General features: G+C 38.7%; 1 long non-coding RNA gene across 2 annotated transcripts in view; it reads right to left on the bottom strand.

The window, feature by feature from the left end:
- The window catches only part of LINC02284 (long intergenic non-protein coding RNA 2284), a 116,044-nt gene extending 109,799 nt beyond the window's left edge, over positions 1 to 6,245 (bottom strand). Inside the window, exon 1 of one of the 2 annotated variants that reach the window (NR_187174.1) lies at positions 6,140 to 6,245. This is a non-coding gene — a long non-coding RNA (long intergenic non-protein coding RNA 2284). Of the gene's footprint in view, positions 1 to 6,131 lie in introns of both variants that reach the window. The other variant, NR_187175.1, reaches the window with a different exon arrangement.
- Positions 6,246 to 15,709: the final 9,464 nt, after the last annotated feature.

Genomic DNA, 15,709 nt, shown 5'->3' with positions numbered 1-15,709 from the left:
ATGAGTTTTTTAGAAACTAAAATAACAAAATAATTACATTAATGCCTACATAGACATGTTTGTGTTGTTTGATATTCTTGAAATATTTTAAGTCCTTTGCATAATCAGATTAAGTAACATGAACACAAAACTCTACAGCTAAAGGCCAGTGTGATCCCAGGAGAGACCAGCATTAGCAAACAAATTAATTCCCGAGTAAACCAGAGAGAAAGGAGTTAAGCCTTTGATCTAAGACTTACTATTTCCAAACCATCTTCAAGTTAAATTACAGATATATCTCCTGAAGTGAATCATTGGAAACCAGGGCATACATGGCACCCCATTCTTTCCTTCTATGACCCCATTGAAGGAGGCAGGTTGTGTGAGTGTGGCGAGACGCAACGCTCCATTTTGAAACACTTTGCCAATTTCCCCCCCACTTCATGACCTTGGGTAAATGACTTCAGCACTTTTGAGCAGGGTGCTGCCTTTCCTACACTATAAAAATGGCTGTTATGTCTATCGATCATGCAGAGGTGCCACGAGGCTTAATTTATTAATGTTTGTGTTACACTCTGCAGCTCTTACATGGAAGGTGTTATAGAAATGCAAAGCAGCAATATATTACCTAAACATCTGCCTCCTCAAATAGCTCTCCAGAAAGTTTTCATTGCTTCAGCACAAGTGATTTCCTTCAAAATGTATAATTTTGTCCAGGTCTTTCTTGGCCCATAAATTGATTCTCCCTCTTTTCACAGTATAGAGTCTCTGTGCAGAGTACACTTTCCATCTTGTCCCTGAAATGTTCACTGTGCCTGCTCTCCCTTGTGTGTGCATTGCAATTACTGACAGTCTCTTTTTCCTCATCACGTTTGCCCTCTTCATTCTTTACTCCAAAAAGCTATTATAATTTAACCCTTCTTTCTATGCTTAATTTCATACATGGACATGTTATGTCTCACCCAAGAGCATGATGTTTTAAAATTAGGCACTAAAAACAAAAGAAATCACTTAAGAATTTTCTTGAAACTAAAATAAGAAAATGCAAAAATAGAAGGTCCAAGTCTGAACATGTTTTGATGAGATGAAGTTAACTGCTAAATTGCTAAAGATTGTATTGGAGATTATTTCTGGTAATGTTAATATTGTCCATAATTTTGTAAAAGTAAGTTCTTCATTAAAGAACTCTATAGCAAATGGGTATTATTTACATAGAAATTCCAGAGTTCCAATATCTATTTGCCTGGGATTTAGATAACTTCTTTTCCAAACACGATTAGAGAGAGGAAATAATAAATTATGCCAACATATTGTATTCAAAGGCTTTCTTCTTTCCACATTTTTACTTTCACTTCAGTTTTGAGACTATTTTTTTATTTGCATATTATTCTTCAGCCCTACGTTTTTGGTTATGGGAGTATCTTAAAATGTACCTGGGATTTGATTGATTGATTGAGAGACGGGGTCTCACTCTGTTGCCCAGGCTGGAGTGCAGTGGCATAAACATGGTTCGCTTGCAGCCTCAACCTCCTGGGCTCAAGCAATCCTTCCTCCTTGGCCTCCCGAAGTTTTGGTATTACAGGTGTAAGCCACTGCACCCAGCCCTGGGATTTGTCTTAAACAGGTATGATTGTAATTGCCCAGGCAGGTTCTTCTTGCCCACTGCCCAGAAAAGCCAATGCACTGAGGGCAGCAAGAGTGTTCACAGCAAGGAAAGATTTAATTATTGCAGGCCAGCCAAATAGCATGATGGGAGATAATTCTCAAATCTGCCTCCCTGAGAATTTGGGGACTAGGGTTTTTCAAGGCTAGTTTAGCAAGCAGGGGACTAGGGAATGGGGAATATTTGTTGGCTGGGTTGGAGATGAAATCATAGGGGGTCGACCCTGTCTTGTGCTGAGTTAGTTCCTGAGTGTGGGTTACTGGTCTGGGTGGTGCCAGTTGGTTCATACAGAATTGAAGATCTGAAACATATCTCAAACACCAGTCTTTGGTTTTACAATAGCAATGTTCTCCATAGGGGCAATTGGTGAAGTTATAAATTTTGTGGCTACATCACTCCTGAGTAGTAAGTAATTTTTAAAAAGCAAGTTATAAAACAATGACTGGTTAGGGTTTATACCTACATCTTAGCAGAATTCAGGTTCCTATCACAATTGTAACCTTGTGGACTTTCATTAGTTTTAAAAAGGTGATTTTGGTCCCCGAGTAAGGTGGGGGTTACTTTCAGGAAGGAACTGCTATCATCTTTGTCTTAAAGTTAAATTATAAACAAAATTCCTCCCATAGTTAGCTTAGAATGAGCAAAGGCTTAGCTTGTGAAGTTAGAAGCAAGATGGAGTCAGTTATGTTAGATTTCTCTCACCGTCATAATTTTGCAAAGACAGTTTCATCACAGATATAGAGACAACTGTCTTTGAAAGAAGAGTTTATTACTTACAGGCTCCAAGAGAAGGGGCATGCCATATTATGTCAGGCCTCCGGGGAAGTACCCAGGTCAGTCAGGAAGCAGAAGGAATGAGGGAAAAGCCTGGTCTAGAGTCTTACTGTGGTTTCCATGGGAGAGAAAGGGTGAGGCAGGGAAGGCAGGTTTGAGCAAGCTTAGAATTGGATAGTTTGGATAATGTGGGCAGGCTCTGGCCATAGGGGTGGTCTCTAATTGTCTGATGCCCGGCCTTGGGTGATTTGGCAGTGGAAATACTGGCTTGGTGTATTAGAGTGAGATAAAGGTGGTGGTTGAGGATATGGGCTTTGGATTGGTGGGGTTGTATACAAAAGGTGTGCTCACAGGCAAGTTGTCTGCTATCTCTAAAAATTAGCTAACCCCTGGAGGGGCAGTCCCTCCCCAGGTCCACACAGCCCCCACAGTGTCAAAGCATCATAAAATATGAAAAAAAAGAACATGATTAATACAGGGGTATCATCTCTGAAATTTTCCAAGCAAATCTTTAAACTAAGTTTGGCTATATAATTCTTTTTATTTAGTGATAAAATAAATGCTTTATAAGGAAAAAAGTTGTGAAAAGAATCATGAAAATTGCTACCATTGATGAACACTTACTACGCCTAGCAATTGATGAAACAGTACATATATGACCTCAGTTGAAGTATTAAACTACAAAAGAAAGCTAAATGAAAAAGAAAAGCTTAAATTACCTCCTGCCCTTATTTACTTGTTGTTTGCAAGAGGCAGATCCAAGCAGCTTGGAAAGAGGTAAATCAGCATTTTCTTCTTTCTAGACAGAGCTGAGTCAGCCTCCCAGCACTCACGTGTGGTGTTGTGAGGCTGCTCAGTTAGGAGCATAACCTGCTACATCGGGCAGTTAACTGGCCAATTTGAATGAGTTCTGCCATTGTTTGGCAGCTCAGCTCTGACAGTGACTCTAACAGAAAATCCCTCCACATATGTCCTCAGTTTGTGGGTAAGCGTTCTTAAACTGGCAGTATGCAGGGAGTTACTACCTGGCATATGTACCACCACATCCCAAACCATATCGATGGCAGGTATCATTTTGTCTGAGCAAGGACGCAACCTCAGAAACTCTCAACAGAGTGTTCTAGGAAATTCACACCCAATTTTCATAGGTTGGCATAATAGATGAAACATATTTATTTGCCATCTGATGTGGCTTTGCTGTCTCCCCACCCAAATCTCATCTTGAATTGTAGCTCCCATAATTCTCACATGTCATGGGAGGGACCTGGTAGGAGGTAATTGAATCACATTGACAGATCTTTCCCATGCTGTTCTCGTGATAGTGAATAAATCTCACGAGATTTGATGGTTTTATAAAGGGGAGTTCCCCTGCACCCGCTCTCCTGTCTGCTGCAATGTAAGATGTGTCCTTGCTCCTCCTTTGTCTTCCACCATGATTGTGAGGCCTCTCCAGCCATGTGGAACTGTGAGTCTATTAAACCTCTTTTTTCTTTATAAATTACTCAGTCTCGGGTGTGTCTTTATTAGCAGCATAAGAATGAACTAATACACCATCTCTATACAGAAGGATGAAGACTCTATCTCTATACATAATTATAACTACTTTTTAGAGTATTGTAGATCAAAAGATAATCAGTTACTATTCATTGACTTAAGAAAATCAGACATAATTTGATGTTTATATGTTTATAATGGATATTTGTCCACGAAATGGGATAAATATGAAATGAGACATTCAAAAATGAAATGTCTTATGAAATGTACACTCCTGCTGATGAACTCAAGCCTTTTCCCAGCTAGCTTCAGATGGGCATCTATTGCTTTGGACTGCACAACATCATCCCCTAGTGCCACTTTCCTCTAATACCAGGACCACTCATTCCCATGGGTACCCATTTCCATAGCTGTGGTGTGGTTTGATTGGAACTGCTGTTGCCAACCTTGCCTCACTCCAACCTCCCCACCCCCCACCCCAAGCTGTACAGAGGTAGGCACCTGGTCCAGCTAGGTAACAATATCCCTCCATCCATAGTGACTGCTTCTAGGCTGAGCCAGTCACAGCTCTTCCCATCAGGGGAGACCATTTCTGCAGGAGATGCTAGGCTAGGAGGGTGATATGGTTTGGCTCTGTGTCCCCACTCAAATCTCATGTTGAATTGTAATCCCTGATGTTGGAGGTGGGGCCTGGTGGGAGATGATTGGATCATGGGGGTGGTTTCTGATGGTTTAGTACCATCCCCCTAGTGCTATCTCATGACAGAGTTCTCCTGAGATCTGGTTGTTTGAAAGTGGGTAGCAACTTCCCCTCCACCTTCCTCCTGCTCTGGCCATGTGAAGACCATGCCTACTTTCCCTTCCCCTCCTGCCATGATTATAAGTTTCCTGAGGCCTCCCCATAAGCAGAAGCCGTATAGCTTGCAGAACCGTGAGCTAATTAAACCTCTTTTCTTTATAAATTACCCAGTCTCAGGTATGTCTTTATAGCAGTGTAAGACCAACTAATATATAGGTATTAGTTGGGTATAAGCAAGGGGCTGGTGGTGGTCACCTTTCCTGTCATGTGAAAGACTGCAGGTATAATTATGTGAGCACAGTCAAGAGACAAAGGGAGAGAGACAGCAGCAGTGATGGGGACAGAGTCTGAGCTCTTGGATTCAGCTGTTCCTGAAATCAGAGGCACACTGAACTTCCCAATCCCAAGAGGCAATAAGTTCCTTTTGTGTCCCCTTAGGCTAGTTCAGAAATTGGATTTCTGAATTTGCAGCTGGCAGAGCTCTAATTAATACAAAGACATGTTAAAAAAAAACAAAGGGATATTTTTTACTGTCTTTATAGTGCTATTTTGTGGTGTTCTGACTGTTGCACAGGTGCTTGTTATTGAAGAGATAGATACATGCTCTATATAAAAGACATTTACTGAGTGCTTACTATTGCTAGGCATTATTCTAAGTACTTCCCAAACAGTGAGTAAATTAATTCTCATAAAATCATTTGCAGTGGGTATTACTAGCAATGTTATACAGATGCAGAAACTGGGACAGTAAAACAGTAAAGAAACTTGTCCTAGGTCACAAAGCCCGCAAGTGGCAGAGCTGGGATTTGAACCTAGGCAGACTGGCTTGAGTCTGTGCTCGTAGCCACTATGCTAACACTTACAACTTGCTTTTGTCCTAGTTTTATATTTCATAATTACATCTAATAACAAAAGAGAACAAGGCACCATATACCTTCTCCGTTCCATGCCTTGAATGCTGGCCTCTAGCTGCTGTTCTTCCAAGGTGAGAAAGAGACCTAGTTATACTTTACAGAGAATTTGAGAATCATGGTCCTTTAGACTTGGGAACATTTTGGAAGAAACACTGTCCATAAGCCTCACCTAAATTGGCACAACTGAAAATGCCCATCTTTTCATAAGTCTATTGAACGATGTTATTCAACCAGTGATAAATTAACCCCAAAATACATAGGTGAACTGCAGTATATAACATAGAATAAATATATCTGAGAAAGTCAAATGTTGTGAGATGGGAAAGGGTACTCCTGCTGCTCAAGGATTAGAGTTGAAAGCAGGAAAATCTGCTGTGCTTAACTGGGTAAAGTCACAGCATTTACATTTCTTGTTGATAGCTAGTGAAGATTCTCCTTGAAGCTCAAGTTCTCGCTGCCCTCTGTCCCAGTCCCCTGTAGAATTGTCAAATCCCGCTTTTGCACTTACTTGATTACCTGCTGAAATCCTGAAATTGCCACAGCTGTTGCCATTTCAGCTCCTTGAATTTATGAGCACCAATGCATCTCCCTTGCATCTGCTTTGGCTGTTGCTTTTGAAAGGAGCGATCACACAAGGAGGGGTAGAGGAAGAGGCCCAGATAGTTCTGTGGCACTGAAGGCAGCTAAGAAAAGAAGGAACTCTTGACTTTGCGATTAGAATAGTAGCAACTGAGAACATTAAATGTGTTTATCTTTCTTCTGAGGAATGCCAAGTATTTTTTAAAAGAGAACCCTGACTCATCGTGCAGAAGCACAAGGACACACACTAAAAATAGTGGCGTGGTTTCTAACATCGAGATGCTCCGCAGCGGGTGACGAGAGGTTTGCTTCTAAATAGACAGGTAACCTACGGAGAGCATATGACGATCTTCTCTCTAAAGGAGTCTGTCAACTCTGTGGGATCTTCCTTTCAGATGACTGATGGGTACAGCAGGGTGGAGGTCGGGAAGGGGAGGCCAATGGATATGGAGGTGGTACTGTTTCCATAAGCATTTCTCTTCTTTCCTTAATGGAATCGACATACACTCTGGCTTCCGCAACGTCCTAGATTAAAGTGGCTTTAAGCCAAGGAGTAAGCCAGTCAGACACCCTTTACACATCCTCAGTTCTAGGTGGGCTCTGGTCTGGGACCAACTATTCTCCCTGATTGATCTGTGCCCTGCCACGGCCTCAGAGAAAGACTGATTCCTGCGTATTCACTAAGGACAGTAAGATGCTTCTGGACAGTCAGATATTTGGGACCTTGATATTCCCCACAGTTGAGTCCACTGGCTCTTTATGCACAGGTGACCAGCACTGACCGAAGCTTCTCAGAGTGAAACTGAGCATCTTTCCAGGTGCCTGCACCGCCAAAGCCGAGACCATCTCTCCATTTCCACACACAATGGCACCTTCAGAAAGCAGGGAGAGGATGTACCTCCCTGCCAAAATCAATCCTGGTCAACTCCAAGTGAGTCTATAAGCCGTACTAAAATAAAGCTGATTTAACAAATAATGGCTTAACACATGGAATCACTAAATGTTATGCTTTAATGTATTTGTAAGAAAATCTCACCATTTGATGTTAAAAGGAGGAACAAGATGAATTTTGACACGCATTTGTCAAATCTTGAGGAACATTAACTTTCTGAGCAGAGAAGACCTTTTTAGAGCCCCCAGATGGAAACTGGATAAAGTCCTTTAGACTTATGAAAAGCTACATGCTTGAACACAGCTCCTGCCCTGTGGTTTCAAATACAGGCTTAGGACTTCTGCCTCTGAATAGGCTGTCGGGCAGCAGACTGATGCTCTCACCAAAAATAACTAGAAAGGCCACATAAAATAAAATTAAATTTAAAACTCGGTTAAAAGACATAAGAGAACTGCTGATGCATAGGTGACTATCAAGGCCACAGTTTGAAGAGGGTAGAATCACAGAGGGGTGAGTTGTTGATCTGTTGATCTGCAACTTCTTTTATTCGGGGACATTTGCAGAGTTTAGATGTAGAGTAAGAATCCGCCACTGGAGCAGAGAAATCAGCAGAGCTCTAGATAGCCTTGGAGGGTTCAAAAGACAAAGTTGAAAATATACGAGGCCAAGATCCTGGTGAGAGGCAGAAAACTGACCCTGGTTTTCTCTTCAAGAGGTTAAGAGAGCAAAAGGCTAAAAGATTAACAGGGCAAAAGGCTAAGTGGAAAGACTGAAAAGAAAGTGAAGTTTTTGGCAGGGTCACCATGCTTAGGGAACAAGAATTACGGTTCAGGACTCACAAGGGGAAGGGCCCTGGTGAATAAACCAGGGTCTTGGCTGAGGCCTTAGGAGCCTAGATTTCACTCAGCTCAGTGAAAGTTGATTATCCCCTTCTCAGCTTGCCTAACAAAAGAAGGTGTACTCCCCTTTGGTGAAGAATAACATCTGGAGCCTCCATACTTTTCCTTTTAATGGATAATGCGCAGCGTTCAATCAAAACTTTTGGGGGTCCCAGCAGCATGCCTGGTAATGGCTGTGATGACAGTTTTCTAATATTTAATTTGATATTAAGTGCATATCTAATTCATAGAACTTGGGCTTCCTGGAAGCACGGTTGCCACAGGCAGTCTGGGAAACAGTGCCAAGGTGTGTGAGTCTGTGTCTGTGTGTATAACACTGGCTTTCATACAGGAGCTGCTCATTAAGGGATAAGCTGCAAGCCAATCATTTGTCAAAGATAATTCTCATTCGGTTTCATACCAAGGAGTGAGGAAGATTTTTTTTTAACTGTGAAAACCCCACAAAAACAAAAAGAACAACAAAAAAAGAACAAAGAAGCCGCCTCGCATCCTACAAATACAAGTCAGTATTCCTTCTGTGTTCTCTTGTAGCATGGTGCTTCATTTTACTTATCTGTATTCTTCCCAAGCTGCAAATTTACTAGGGCCACAGACTATATCTACCTCAGTCACACAAGTCTCCTCCAGTGGCTGGTGCAGTGCCTGGAGTACAATGGGGGCTTAATAAATATTTTTTATAGAATTAATGAAGGAAATAAATAAAAGCAAACTGAATGTCAAACTTACTTTGGGAAAACAGTCACAATACAGTTGTGATCTGCAGTTGGGTGCACAAAAGCCCAATGTGAACTATAGCAGAAAGTCTCTTATCTGATGTAGTTAGAAAGGTAGTTATTCAGGCCAGGGACAGTGGCTCACACCTGTAATCCCAGCACTCTGGGAGGCTAAGGTGAGGATCCCTTGGGACCAGCAGTTCAAGACCAGCCTGGGCAACATAGTGAGACCCCATCTCTAAAAAAAAAAAAAGTTAGCTGGGTATGGTGGTGTACACTCATAGACCAAAGTACTCAGGAGGCTGAGGTGGGAGGATCATGTAAGCTCAGGAGTTTGAGGCTGCAGTGAGCTAGGATCACGCCACTGTACTGTAGCCTGGGTAACAGAGGGAGCCCATGTCTCAAAAAACAAAACCAAAAAAATTTTTTTAAAAAAGGAAAGAAAGGTAGTTTTCAGTTCATTGAAAGTAATTTATAGCAGGGAACTTATAGAAAATATATACTTATTTTGCATTTTACCCTTCATACCTCATTTTAACTTAAACACAAATGCACATTTGTATACTAATATCTTGACAGTGTGCCAAAGCCTTTTGAGTATAGGTCCGTTTACAAGAGTCAAGTGATCCTTCTTGATGATCTTTCTTGAATGAACAGCATTCACAATGAATCATTTCCAATTTAAGCTTTTTTAAAGTGGAGTGAGAACCAAAAGGCAGTAGGGACAATCTGAGCAAAAACTTCACAAAGCCCATACACTTTCCAATATTTTCCAGTTTTCTTTCCCATACTTGAAACCTTTTTTTAAAAGCAATTTGCTTAAAGTCCTCTCAAAGTATTCAGCTTAATTTTCAAAGGCAAAACAACTCTTTGATACTCATATTTATGAGATTATGTGACATTTAATTACCTAATATTAACAGTATGACTGATATAATAAGTTTGGAAACAACTATAACTGAATCCTGGTAAGCATACAACTCAACTGGCAGAAGCAGAAGTATGCGGGTTAGGAGAAGGTAGCAAATTACTAGGTGGGAGCATGGGCATGCCATGGGCATTCATTAGTATGTTTCATAGAGGCGTGGTCAATCCCGTAAGAAAGCAAAGTAGAGGTCATATAAGAGAGCTTATAGAGAAAGTGTTATTAAGGACAAGGAGCAGCTTCCATTTGCAAAGGGTAAGTATTCCAGAGTATTTAAATATATGATAGTTTAACTATTAATTAAGTTAAACTGCCTTAACATATTAACATTTTATAGTAAAGAATGGAAAATACATACATCACCATTACATGTACATATATAGTAATACATAGTCAAATATTTAATTGCTTTTAAATATATTTAACATAAATTATATTTATACCATATTCAAAAGTCTTTTTGAAATATTTTAAATTTTCCTTTGCTATCTTCTACCAATTTAGGATGAAAAAGGGGGGTTTGATAGGTAGCTAATCCTGTTTGAATTATCAGAAGCTCCAAATTAATGCATTACAAATTGCATGTGTAATAGGTGGTACAGCAGGCCACTTTTAGACAACAGGCTCCTGGAGAATAGAGCTAGCACTCAATGAATATGCTGTACACAAGACTCTACCAACATTAGTTCTCCATAAACCTCATTTTTTCTTTTCTTTCTAAACATTCAGACCTGTAATAAGAATGCAGCTCAGGTCTATCCACTTAAATGCTGTGCCAAGATATCATACTATAGATATTTTTGCACTTAGTCTATTAGGTAATTTTTGCCTGACATGAGTATTAACGAGAACGGATATACTTGTTAGGTATTGCAAATAATTCAACTTTAAAAACATTTTCTATTACTTCTCTTTCAAGCTTCTTGCTCGGACTAAAGAGTATTAAGATTGCAGGTGAGCTATGAATCATTTTCTCCAACAAACACACACACACACAAAAACAGATGAGACTGATATAAGATTATAACTATTTCCTCTAACACTAGACATTATTTTTTTTCTCATTACACAATTTTACCCATTTAAGCTTATGAAGCTTAAATATTGCTGCAATATTGCTTTTCTCTACTTGCATGTTAGGAATCCATGAGATTTTATTTGATTTTTTTTTCAAAAGTGTTGTGCACATATATAACAATTTGCAAACCATTGATTTGGTCCAATTTTATTATCTCTCAGAGTAAAAAACAGACAGGGATTAAGTAACTTGCAAAAGATCACAAAATTAATTAGAGGCCACACCATTAACAGAAACTGACACTTATGTCAATGATCTTCCCATTGATCACACTGGCTTTGTGTTTTCTAATTTCAGCCATGATGATTCAGACTAAACTAGTCATTGAAATCTTCATTTTCTGAAGCAGTTTTCATCCTAAAGACTCATGAATGTTAAGTAGAGAATCAAATCCATTAAAAGATCTAACTACCATCAATTGGTTTAGATAAAGAAGGAGTTTTCATCTAATGGAAATGTTGATGGAAGGCAGGAACTTGAAATTTGGCTAGTTTATTGGGTTTCATTGCATAAATTATGGCAATTTAAATGAGTTTTTATTCTTACCCTATACAAGAAACTAACAAAAGAACTGGTAAAACTTTTGGATGCTTTCCATCAGCAGCCTAGGGTAATAATCCAGCTTGGCATCCATCCAATCCAAGAAGTGAATTATTCCAAATAAATAAACTAATTCTAATAACAGAATAGGGCTTCAATATCATAAAAATAAATATATTTAAAATTGAGAAACATCTACCAACTGAAAGGGTGGTGCATTAATTGTCAATAGTCTTATAGTGCGTTTTCAAATATGTAGTCACAAGTATATTTGCTATGTCTTTCTTTTCATAAAATAAAGTTATTCCATGGTCATCAGTAATACCATATTAAACTGTTTTAAGTCATAGAGGCTGTGATACAGAGTTTTGCATAAGGAGTAACAGTATTTTTCTGTGAAGATTAGGGTTTAGAACCACATGAATAGCAATAACATTGGGTTCATGCTTATCTGTTTTCATTTAAAATAAATTTTGAGAATGTATGGCAATAGTTCCACAATAGCTAAATTCTATCAATTTTAGCATTCACGAAGAATTCAAAATACCTTATATGGGGAGAAAAAAGAAAGTCTGCAGTCAAATGAATTTGGGATACAGTAGATTATTTTTCAGAGTTATAAGATTATATGACTTTTTTTGCAGAGAATTTCTGGGACTCAAAATTTAAAGAAAACGCTTTGGGTAATGTTACCGCAAGGGAATAATATAAGCAACTATCATTTAGCGAGCACTTACTATATAACCATAGTGCCTGTATTATGTTGATTTGACTACATCTCTAAGGGGTAGAAACACTATCATCACCTCTATTTTATAGATAAGGAAATACTTGAACTCAATGAATCCAAACAGCAGAACATTTCCAGAATGTATACAGAAATCAAACTCTGAAATTAAAAAAAGTTCCTTTCCCAGTTTTATTACGAATACATCACTAGATGATAGGAACCCAAAGCCTGTGAAATATGCCCTGATGACACCCAGTTTGCTTACCCACAGCAAGTTTCTATCAGGTTAATGAAAATTTTGAGAATTCAGCAAGCTTCCCGCACTATGTACAAAAAAACCTCATCCTTAACACTGAACTCTTTCAAACCAGTTTGAAAATTTCTGGAGGTTGTTCTCCTGTAGAGTGGAAATGGTTAAAGGCACGAACTAAAAACCAATGGCAAAGGATGGGGAATGCAAGTTTAGAAAAGAGGCAAAGGAGTTAAGAGAGTCAGATCCATTCACCTAAGAGAAAATCGCAGCTAGACTGACGGGGCAGGAAGGGCCCTTGTTTGGCTAGGCCATCCATTCCCATCTCCATGTGGGGCCACATGCCTCAAGTTCCCAGGAAACCACATTGGATGTGCCAAAACCAATGAGCACAATGGGAATTTAGTAACTTGCACAGCAGAGGCATACAGTCAATACAATCATTTAGCCGAAGAAGAATTTATCAAAGTATAGAACATGGATCACCTGTAACATCATCTAGGTTGTCTGTCCAAAGTGAAAATTCATGGAGAGAAACCTAGAAAATTACAACATCAGCCTCTGTAGACGCAGCTAAGGAGTCTGCATTTTAAGCAAACCTCAGGAAATTCTGATGTAAGCTTAAGTTCAAACCTGAAATTAGGCAAGAAAGAACTCATTATACTTCTTTTAGCTAACAAGAATAACCTTGGTATTCTTCAACTAGAACCTGTTTAGAAGACAAAAGAAGGAAGTGATGCTTAAGAATGGTCCATTTGGGCACTCCAATGCACATCCCATAATTAGCAGTGGGTGTTCTGGGCGGCACAACAGCTTGAAAACAGTTTGTTCAGGCTTACAGCTCCGCAGCCATAAGAAGCACGGCCCCATTTTGCAAGCCTCAGACACATTCCTGCTACCGACATCCAATTTAAAATTCTTATTTTAAGTTCAGAAAGACAGAGTCATGCACCACATAACAATGCCTCAGTCAATAATGGACTGCATATATGACGGTGAGCCCATAAGATCCTGATGGAGCTGAAGAACTCCTGTTTTTACAGCTAACCTGTTATACAGTAGGAGTATATTCTAAAATAACTATAAAAAGTACAATAACATAGTTATTATCAAATATGTACTGTACTAATTGCATGTGCTATACTTTTATATCACAGTGCAGTGGGCTTGTGTACACTAGCATACTAGCATCACCACAAATACATGAGTAATGCACTGTCTCAAAAAAAAGAAAAAAAAAATCTTAGGTAGATCCTTTAGAATATGAGTTGTCTGGTGGTTTTTTTTTTTTTTTTTTTGGAAGACTTATGTGTATGTTCTCTTTTTTTTAAACAGGTGGTGTTTGGTTATATGATGTTCACTTTATTTAATGACAAGTAAAAGTGTAAGGAAATTGAGCTATGTTGTCACATTGTGGAAAACATCTCAAGGCAGCAAGAAACTGGATAATCCTGAATATTTTTACCTGAAGGACTAAGTAAAGATCATAGCATGGTGGTTTCTAAGACACAAACTCTTCATAATCTAACATCTCTGAATTTAGGATGCATGTTTTCTTTTAATTTTTATTGAGATGTTAATTCACACACTATAAAACTCACCCTTTTAAGTGTATAATTCAGTGGGTTTTGGTCCATTCACATATTCACATAGTTGTATAACCATCACCACTGTTTAGAACATTTTCATCTTCCCCCAGATAAGCCTCATGTCTACTGGTAATCACTCCTTATTCCACTTTCCTTAACTCCTGGCAACCATGAATCTACTCTGTGTCTCTGTGGATTTGCCTATTTCTTACATACAATATGTTACATATAATATGTTGGCTTTTTCAACTTAACATGTTTTCAAGATTCATCTATGTTGTATGTATCAATATCGTACTTCATTTTTATTGTCAAATAATATTTCATTGTATGGATATACCATGTTTTGTCTGTCCATTCTTCAGCTGATGGACATTTATTTCCACTTTTCGGCTATTACCAATAATGCTGCTATGAACGTTCATGTACCTATTTTTGTGTGAACATGTTTTCAATTCTGTGTATATACCTAGCAATGGAATTGCTGGAGTACATGGTAACTGTACATACATTTTACCTCTTGAGGAATGCCAAACTATTTTTTCCAAAGCAGCTGCATCATTTTACAATCCCACCAACAATTTATGAGTGTATTTCAACATCCATGCCAACATTCATTATTGTCTTTTTGACTTTAGCCATCCTAGTGGGTATAACGTGGTATTGTGTGGTTTTAATTTGCACTTCCCTGATGGCTAATTGTCGAGCCATGTTTTTATGTGCTTACTGGCCATTTAATACATTCTTTGGAAAATGTTCTGAAAAGTTATAAACTTTTGATCGTCTTTTAAAGAGGTTGCATTTTGATGAGTTGTAAGAGCCTGTTACATATTTTGGACCCAAGTTCCTTATCAAATATATAATCCCTAAATATTTTCTATTTTGTGAGTTGTCTTTTTACTCTCTTGACAGCGTCCTTCCATGCACAAAACTTTAATTTTGATGAAACCCAATGTTATATATTTTTTCTATTTTTTTCTTGAGACGGAGTTTCGCTCGTCGCCCATGCTGGAGTGCATGGTGCGGTCTCGGCTCACTGCAACCTCTGCCTCCAAGGTTCAAGCGATTCTCCAGCCTCAGCTTCCCAAGCAGCTGGAATTACAGGCGCCCATCACCACGCCCAATTTTTGTATTTTTAGCAGAGACGGGGTTTCACCATGCTGGCCAGGCTGGTCTTGAACTCCTGACCTCAAGTGATCTGCCTGCTTCGGCCTCCCAAAGTGCTGGGATTACAAGCGTGAGCCATTGTGCCTGGCCTTTTTTCTTTTGTTGCTTGTGTTTTTACGTTTGGTATGTCAAAAATCACTGACAAATCTAAGGTTACAAAGGTTTACATTATGTTTTCAAAGGTTTACATTATGTTTTCTTCTAAGAGTTCTATAGTTGTAGCTCTTTGACCCATTTTGATTTAATGTTTGTATGCTGTGTGAGGTGTATTCCTTGCCCAATGGAATGTAACTTACAATTATAACCAGTTGTGATTTTCTATAACACATCTCACAATTCGTGGCATCTTAGATTTGACAAAGTATGGAACACTTATCCCCTGAAATAAAAGCCTATATAAATGTGCATTTTTTTTCTGGAAATGAAAAATCTGTTTCTCTCAATAATACTAAAACTCTTTGAATATCAATGTGATGAGAACAAAATTTGTCATAAATATATACATTTTCTTATGATAGATATATTAGTTTAAGGCTTCAAGGAAGGCTTGAAGGCTTATACACAATCCTTATTATGTTGTTAAAAGTGAATGAAGACTGTCACAAGAGCAGCAATATGGCTGAAATGATCATGACAAAAATCCATTAATTCTACAAGTCAGGTTAAATTCCCCTGGAAGTTAACTTTATTTGACAGTGATGTAATGTCACGAGAAATAGTAATA

This window comes from Homo sapiens, chromosome 14, assembly GCF_000001405.40.
Source record: "Homo sapiens chromosome 14, GRCh38.p14 Primary Assembly".
Lineage (NCBI taxonomy): Eukaryota > Metazoa > Chordata > Mammalia > Primates > Hominidae > Homo > Homo sapiens.
The sequence above is the reverse complement of the archived record's forward strand: the minus strand, read 5'-3'. Positions and strand labels throughout refer to the sequence as shown.